The sequence below is a fragment of the Homo sapiens genome, chromosome 7 (genome assembly GCF_000001405.40).
Source record: "Homo sapiens chromosome 7, GRCh38.p14 Primary Assembly".
Classification (NCBI taxonomy): domain Eukaryota; kingdom Metazoa; phylum Chordata; class Mammalia; order Primates; family Hominidae; genus Homo; species Homo sapiens.
Genome location: NC_000007.14, coordinates 73,842,675 through 73,851,527, shown reverse-complemented (window position 1 = coordinate 73,851,527; position 8,853 = coordinate 73,842,675). Strand labels below are relative to the sequence as shown.

General features: G+C 48.5%; 1 annotated feature.

The window, feature by feature from the left end:
- Positions 5,391-5,680: an enhancer, noted in NCBI's record as "active region_26131". NCBI's record gives its function as "activates an Ori minimal core promoter by ATAC-STARR-seq in GM12878 lymphoblastoid cells {active_cell/tissue: GM12878}" and the evidence as "EXISTENCE:reporter gene assay evidence [ECO:0000049][PMID:35858748]".

The window sequence follows — 8,853 nt, the reverse complement described above, 5'->3', positions numbered from 1 at the left end:
ACCCATGGTAAGAATTGTATTAAACAGCCTGGACGCAGTGGCTCACATCTGTAATCCCAGCACTTTGGGAGGCCAAAGTGGGAAGATCGCTTGAGGCCAGGAGTTGGAGACCAGCCTGGACCACATAGGGAGACCCAGTCTCTATGAAATATTTTTAAAAATTAGCTGAGCATAATAGTGCATGCCTGTCAACTCAGCCACTCAGGAGGCTGAGGCAGGTGGATCACTTGAGCCCAGAAGGTTGAGACTGTAGTGAGCTAGGATTGTGCCACTGCACTCCAGCCTGGGCGACAGAGTGAGATCTTGTCTCTAAAAAGAAAAAAAAAGAAAAAAAAAGTATTGCACAAAGCTGTTCATTAAACACACATGTGAAACTGAAGCAAGAGCCTAACAAAACAATAATTACTCCTACTACATGCAGTATGCTCTTCTAATATCTGTTCATTCTATTTCACAACCAGCTGAATTGTTTTCACTACCCTCCAGTGGGTTAAAGCATTCCTTCCAGAAACATCCACTTGTGAACAAAGAGACATGTGCATGGCAATGTTATTTCCTATCCCCAGGAAAGGGGAGCTGTATCAGCTGGGTGTGTCAGCTTGAGGCTTGAGGGATGACTAAGCGGTGGTGAAAACGAACCCAGTCCGCAAGCATCAACACAGAAAGAGCTCATAAATGGCTGGGCATGGGGGCTCATGCTGGTCATCCCAGCACTTTGGGAGGCCAAGGCGGGCAGACCACTTGAAGTCAGGAGTTTAAGACCAGCTGGGTAACTTGGTGAAATCCCATCTCCACTAAAAAGACAAAAAATTAGCCGGGCCTGGTGGTGCATGCCTGTAGTCCCAGCTGCTCGGGAGGCTGAGGCAGGAGAATCGCTTGAACCCAGGAGGCGGAGGTTGTAGTGAGCCGAGATCGCGCCTCTTCACTCCAGCCTGGGCGACAGAGCAAGACTCCATCTCAAAAAAAAAAAAAAGCCACTGAAGCAGAGTTGAAGGAAGAGTGGGGCAACATGGCAAAACCCCACCTCTACGAAAAATACAAAAAAAAATTAGCTGGGTGTGGTGGTGCACGTCTGTAGTCCCAGCTGCTCGGGAGGCTGAGGTGAGGGGATTTTCCCGGCTGGAAAATAGTGCAAAGGCCCTGTGATAGCCTTGGCACAGTCCAGGAACAGCAGAGGCCAGAGTGGCGGATCAAGGAAAAGAGACGCTACAGATAAGGAGAGGAAAGAAGCTGGATTTTAGGTTTTAAGCAGGGGCGTAAACTCATCAGATGGATACTGTAAAAACGCCACTCTGGCTGGGCTCAGTTTGTTAACTATTGAAACGCTCATGAAGAAATACATGGGGAGTTATTACACTAGTCTCTTCTTTTGTGTGTGTTTGAGATTTTCTTCTTCTTTTTTTTCTTTTAGTTTTTTCAGACAGAGTCTTGCTGTGTTGCCCAGGCTGAAGTGCAATGGCGTGATCTTGGCTCACTGCAACCTCTGCCTCCCCGGTTCAAGTGATTCTCCTGCCTCAGCCTCCCAAGTAGGTGGGATTACAGGCATGCACCACCATCCCTGGATAATTTTTGTACTTTTAGTAGAGACAGGGTTTTGCCATGTTGGCCAGGCTGGTCTTGAACTCCTGATCTCAAGTGATCCACCCACCTTGGCCTCCCAAAGTACTGGGATTACAGGTGTGAGCCACCGCACCTGGCTGGTGTAGTTTGAGTCCACAGGATTTGCTGATGAACAGGGTGCGAGATGGGAGAAAAACAGCTTGAGCTGAGCCCCTGAGTGCAAGGTGGTTCAGGGGCATTTGCAGAGACGGGCCCTGAAGAGGAGCAGATTTGGGAGTGGAAAGAATCACTCTCGGGTCTGGGCTCGTTGCCAGACCTGTGGCCTCCAAGGAGATGTCAGTTTCATGGCTGGGTGAACAAGTCCAGAGTTCAGGGGAGAGCCAAGACTAGAAGTCATCAATTTGGGAGTCACCCACAAATAAACAGTATTTAAAACCACGGGACTAGATGAGATCACCTAGGAAGTGGGTGTACACAGAGAAGGAAGAAGACCCAGGACAGAGCCGGGGGCCTCTCCTAAGCTTAGAGGTAGGAGAAGAGCAAGGAGGAGGCGGTGAAGAAGATGAGGTAGGAAGAAAACTCCAAGGAAGGGAAGTTGCCATCTGGTCCTCAACAGCCCCCACACCCCATCAGCACCAAGGTCACCCCCTCCTCAGCAGCCCCTGACTCTTGACACTCCAGCTCTTGCCAAGTAACTGCAACAGCCTCGGAACTTGCGGTTCACCCAGCTGGCTCTCCCTGCCGCCTTCTGGAGCCATCTTGGTAAAATGCAAATCTGAAGCCACAACTCCCCATTACACATTCAGGGTTAGAAAGCACGTCCATAGACCAGGCGTGGTGGCTCATGCCTGTAATCCCAGCACTTTGGGAGGCCGAGGCAGGCAGATCACCTGAGGTCAAGAGTTTGAGACCAGCCTGGCCAGCGTGGCAAAACCCCATCCCTACTAAAAATACAAAAAAAATTAGCTGGGCGTGGTGGCACATGCCTGTAGTCCCAGCTACTTGGGAGGCTGAGGCAGGAGAATTGCTTGAACCCAGAAGGCAGAGGTTGCAGTGAGCCAAGATTGCACCACTACACTCCAGCCTGGGCAACAGAGTGAGACTCCATCAAGAAAGGAAGGAAGGAAGAAAGGAAGGAAGAAAGGGAGGGAGGGAGGGAAAGGAAAGGAAAGGAAAGGAAAGGAAAGGAAAGAAAGAAAGAAAGAAAGAAAGAAAGAAAGAAAGAAAGAAAGAAAGAAAGAAAGAAGGAAGGAAGGAAAGAAAAGAAAGAAAGAAAAAGAAAAGAAGGAAGGAAGGAAGGAAGGGAGGGAGTCCATAGCCTGGGGACCAAGCTCTCCATGGCCTGGGTCCTGCACACATCAAAATGGACACCTGTAACATTCCCCGCTCATCACACAGGTGCACATGAAGGAACACACGCCCTCACACCCCAGGAGCAGCACAGGAGCCCGCACTGTGGCAGGCCAGGTCTCCCCAACAACTGTTTCAGTACTGACTGAGTGGTTAATTTAAATATTAAAAGCCAGTGCCCTTATACAAAGGCTGGGATGTAACAAAAGCCCACCAAGAGTTTTGCCCAGGCCTTTCCTGGGCCTTAAATCACGACAAAATAATGAAGGAATTCTTAACAGGACCATTTAGAATTAAGCAAGTTTTATTTTGGGTCTGAAGAAACTCCCCAGGCCTCCACAAACAAATTTATTGGCGGTCTGAAGGAACTCCTCAAACCTCCATGATTTAGCAGGAGATAACAGGAATCACCCCAGCACCTGGACCCATTTAGATAAGTAAATTTACTGAGGTTCCAGAGGAAGAGCTTCGGGACTCAGACCTTAGTCATGGATTAAAAGAAATTAATCACTTATGTCTTCAGATGAATGCACACTTACACATAGACGTATAGCTTAGAAGGTGTATAAGCTCTGGAAAACTTTGTAACTTTGAGTTAGTCGGGTGATAATTTCCACGCCTTCTCCCTGTAAACGGTTACAGAAATAAAAACTCTCTTCCTCCCCAGTTTGTGTGCATCTCGTTATTGGGCCACAAGAAGTAGCAGCCCGACCCTCAGTTTGGTCTGGGAACAGTACCACAAGCCATTCTCCCCTCCCTCCTTCCTGGATGGAAAGCTCACACCCCACACCTGAGCCTCAAAGTGCCAGATCACAGTTTCCCAGCTTCTGTGGCTTCTGGAAATACCCTCCTCCCATAGAAAGAAAGAGAAAGGCCAGGTAGGTTCCTCACACATGTAATCCCAGCATTTTGAATGCCAAGGAGGGAGGATGGCTTGAGCCCAGGAATTGGAGACCAGCCTAGGCAACATAGCAAGACCCCATCTCTACAATTTTTTTTTTTTAATTAACCAGGCTTGGTGGCAAGCACCTGGAGTCCCAGCTACCCAGGAGGCTGAGGCAGAAGGATTGCTTGAGCCCAGGACGTAGAGGCTGCAGTGAGCTAGGATTGTATCACTGCACTCCAGCCTGAAAACAGAGCAAGACCCCTCTCAAAAAAATAAAATTAAAATTAAAAATATAAAGGACAAAAGGGAGAGAGGGAGGGAGGAAGGGAGGGAGGGAGGGAGGGAAGGAGAAACAAGGAAAAGCTCCTGCCATTCCTAGCCTACTTTGGGCTTTGTTTTGTTTGTATTTTTTTCTTTGAGATGGACTCGCTCTGTTGCTAGGCTGGAGTGCAATGGCGCAATCCTGGCTCACTGCAACTTCCGCCTCCCAGGTTCAAGCAATTCTCCTGCCTCAGTCTCCCGAGTAGCTGGGACTACAGGTGCCCGCCAGCATGCCCAGCTAATTTTTGTATTTTTAATAGAGACAGGTTTTCGCCATGTTGGCCAGGCTGGTCTCGAACTCCTGACTTCAAGCGATCCACCCACTTCGGCCTCCCAAAGTGCTAGGATTACAGGCATGAGCCACCACACCTGGCCTGCCTTGGGCTTTGAATGTAAGGATGCAAGGAATGTTCAAGTTGCTGCCACCATTTGTGACCAGAAGGAGCCAACAGTGCAAACACACAATGTGGCAAGTGAGAGGTTGGCACCAGGGCCCTTGTGAGATCAGTGGGCCCCTGGCCTGGCCCCTGTGCTGCTGACCACTGGCCTTCTTGCTGTAAGAAAAATACCAAACCCCTAATATTTAAACCACTTGGGGTTGGTTTTTGTCGTGTTTTTTTTTGTTTTTTTTTTTTTGTTTTTTTGAGACAGTGTCTGCTCTGTTGCTCAGGCTACAGTGCAGTGGCACAGTCCTAGCTCACTGCAGCCTCAACCTCCTGGGTTCAAGCGATCCACCTCAGCCTCCTGAGCAGTTGGGACCACAGGCACGTACCACCACACCCAGGTAATTTTTGAAGTTTTTTGTAGAGACAGGGTCTTCCTATGTTGCCCAGGCTGGTCTCAAACTCCTGGGCTCAAGCGATCCTCCAGCCTCGGCCTCCCAAAGTGCTGGGATTACAGGTGTGAGCCACTGCACCCAGCCAATGGATCATTTTAATACATCTCCCACCCCAAACTGTTTTCTCTTCCCCAAGCCCCCAAGCTCCCTCTGTCACTTTGGCAGCAACTAGACTTGGTGGGAGGGGAAGCTTGATATCCACGGCCCGTAGTATGTAGGGTCCAGCCCTATGGGGCTTAGCGGGTGTTCTCCCCGTGTGCGGAGATGAGAGATAGTAATAAATAAAGACACAAGACAAAGAGATAAAGAGAAAACAGTTGGGCCCGGGGGACCACTACCATCAAGATGCAGAGACCGGTAGTGGCCCTGAACCGGCTGGAAGTGCTGATATTTATTGCATAGGAGACAAGGGGGCAGGGTAAGGAGGGTGAATCTTCTAAGTGATTGACAAGGTGAAGCAAGTCACATGATCGTAGGACAGGGGGCCCTTCCCTCTTAGGTAGCCGAAACAGAGAGAGAGAAGGCAGCATACGTCAGCGTTTTCTTCTATGCATTCATAAGAAAGACCAAATACTTTAAGACTTTCAGTATTTCTTCTATCGCTGTCTACTACGAACTTCAAAGAGGAACCAGGAGTAGAGGAGGAACATGAAAGTGAACAGGGAGCATGACTATTGAAGCACAGCCCCACAGGGAGGGGTTTAGGCCTCCGGATGACTGCGGGCAGGCCTGGGTAATATCCAGCCTTCCACAAGAAGCTGCTGGAGCAGAGTGTTCCCTGACTCCTCCAAGGAAAGGAGACTCCCTTTCGTGGTCTGCTAAGTAACGGGTGCCTTCCCAGACACTGGCGTTACCGCTTGACCAAGGAGCCCTCAAGTAGCCCTTATGTGGGCGTGACAGAAGGCTACCTCTTGCCTTCTAGGTCACTTCTCACAATGTCTCTTGAGCACCTGACCCTATACCTGCCAGTTATTCCTAGGTTATATTAGTAATTAAAAGCTAATGATTAATAATGTTTATAATAATGATTGATAATTGTCCATGATCATCTCTACATCTAATTTGTATTATGACTATTCTTATTCCATTTTCTTTATTATACTGAAACAGTTTGTGCCTTCAGTCTCTTGCCTCGGCACCTAGGTAATCCTCCGCCCACAGGAGTGAGAGGGTCATTTTCAGCAAAAGACACAGAAAAGGCTTTGAGGCTCCAAAAACTTAAGACTTGAGGGGAGTAAAGGATTAGAGGCAAAAAAAATAAAACTTGATGAGTCAGAGAAAGGCCTTCCAGCCCCAAGGCTAGAACAGGCTCCTGGGCCAAGGAGGAGAAAAACCGGAGGAGGCTTGTGCTTTGAGGTATTTCAAGATGTTTCAGGCACATCTCATACTTTTCCTGCCCCAAGCGTTTCAGTCATTTCATCAGCTGTTTCTCTAAGGAGCTCTGGTTCCTTTTAGTTGATAACGCTTTTTTTTTTTTTTAAAGAGATGGGGTCTCGCTGTGTTGCCCAGGTTGGAGTGCAGTGGTGCAATTTCTGCTCACCGCAACCTCCGCCTCCCAGTTTCAAGCGATTCTCCTGCCTCAGCCTCCTGAGTAGCTGGATTACAGGTGCGTGTGCTACCACTCCCAGGTAATTTTTGTATTTTTAGTAGAGACGGGGTTTTACCATGTTGGCCAGGCTGGTCTTGAACTCCTGACCTCAAGTGATCCACCCGCCTCGGCCTCCCAAAGTGCTAGAATTACACACATGAGCCACTGCACCTGGCAAGAATGCATTTTTAGAACCAGATCTGGATGCTCGTTGTGGTGATTACTACTGAAGCGTTAATTGTGTTTAGGTCATTTTGGCAGACAAAGCTAGGAAACTCACAAATACACACACATACATGTATGTCTATTTACATATCTTTCCATTTATTTATGTTAAAACCCATGAGTTTACTCTAATATCTCCCACTCTCCTCCAACGCTACAGGGTTCCTTCTACTCATCACCCTGTAAAACCAGAAAATCTAAGACAGGTCTCAGTTAATTTGGAGAGTTTATTTTGCCAAGATTGAGGACGCACGCCTGTGACACAGCCTCAGGAGGTCCTGACGTCATGTGCCCAAGGTGGTCGGGGCACAGCTTGGTTTTATACATTTTAGGGAGACACGAGACATCAATCAATATATGTAAGAAGTACATTGGTTTTGTCTAGAAAGGTGGCGACAACTCGAAGCAGGGAGGGGGCTCCGGGTCACAGGAAGGTGAAAGACAAATGGTCCTATTCTTTGAGTTTCTGATAAGCCTTTCCCCTGTAATCTCAGCTACTCAGCAGGCTGAGGCAGGAAGTGGAAGTTGCATGAGCTGAGATTGAGCCACTGCACTCCAGTCTGGGTGACAGAGCGAGACCCCATCTCATAAAAAAAGAATGCCTTCACCATCTGGGAATGCAGTCCAGTAGGTCTCAGTCTTATTTTACTCAGCCGCTATTCAAGATGGAGTTGCTCTGGTTCAAACATCTCTGACACTTCGACACTTCTACCCCCTAAACATCTCTGAAGATCACCCACTCCTCTCCGCAGTCATGACCTCTACCCAAGGTCATGCAACCATCACCTCCTGCCTGGACACCTGCAACAGCCTGCCAAATTCTGCCTGCCCAAACCCTTGATTCCAACACAGGTCCTCTAGACCAGCGCTTCTGAACCTTCAGCTGCCTAGAAATCGCCTGCAGAGTTTGTAGAAACACAGAAACTCTGGGCCCCAGTCCCAGAAATCTAATTCTCATTCAGAAGGTCCCAGGTCAACTGAGAATTTTTACTTTTTTTTTTTATTTGAGATGGAGTCTTGCTCTGTCACCCAGGCTGAAGTGCAGTGGCGCAGTCTCTGCTCACTGCAATCTGTGCCTCCCAAGTTCAAGCTATTCTCCCACCTCAGCCTCCTGAGTAGCTGGAATTACAGATGCCCGCCACCACGCCCGGCTAATTTTTGTATTTTTAGTAGAGATGGGGTTTTGTCCTGTTAGCCAGGCTGGTCTCAAACTCCTGTCCTCAAGTGACCCGCCCACCTCAGCCTCCCAAAGTGCTGGGATTACAGGTGTGAGCCACTGCGCCCCGGCCTAATTTTTGCATTTCTCACAAGCTTCCCTAGGGCATCTCCTAGAGGAAACCAAGATGTTACGGAGGCTGACGCTGCGTATCTTCAGGTCACACTTCCAGCCGCAAGACTCTCTCTGCTGTCCAATACAGTAGCCACTAGCCACATGTGGCTATTTAACTTATTAAAATAAAATTTGCCAGTACGGTTTTTTAAAATAAAATTATTAAAATAAAATTTGCCAGGAGGCAGAGGTGGGAGAATCGCTTGAGACTAGGAGTTTAAGACCAGCCTGGACAACATTTTTTGTCTCTACAAAAACTACGAAGATAAAAATAAATAGATAAAAATTTAAAAAGCCGGGCAAGGTGGCATGCACCTGTAGTCCCAGCTACTCAGCTACTCAGAAGGCTGAGGCAGGAGGCTGGCTTGAGCTTGAGTTCAAGGCTGCAGTGAGCTATGGTCAAGCCACTGCACTCCAGCCTGGGCGACAGAGTGAGACCCTGTCTCATAAAACAAAACAAAAATAAAACAAAATAAGTAAATATAAATACAAAGTAAAAATGAAAGCTAATCCTAGGTCCCTCTCCTGCCCATAAGAATTCAGAGACTCCCCAGTGCCTACAAACCTCATGCTTTCAGGAAGCATAAAGGACTTCAGGAGGCAGGAGGGCAGTTGGAGGGGGATGGTGGAGGTGCTGCTACCTGACGGTGGAGGGGGAGGCCGGGGCCAGACCACCGAGAAGCCCCTAAACCCGCACAGCAGGAAAACATCTCCGCAGTCCCTGCTCTACCAAGGCTGGAGGAGGGCCACAAGCC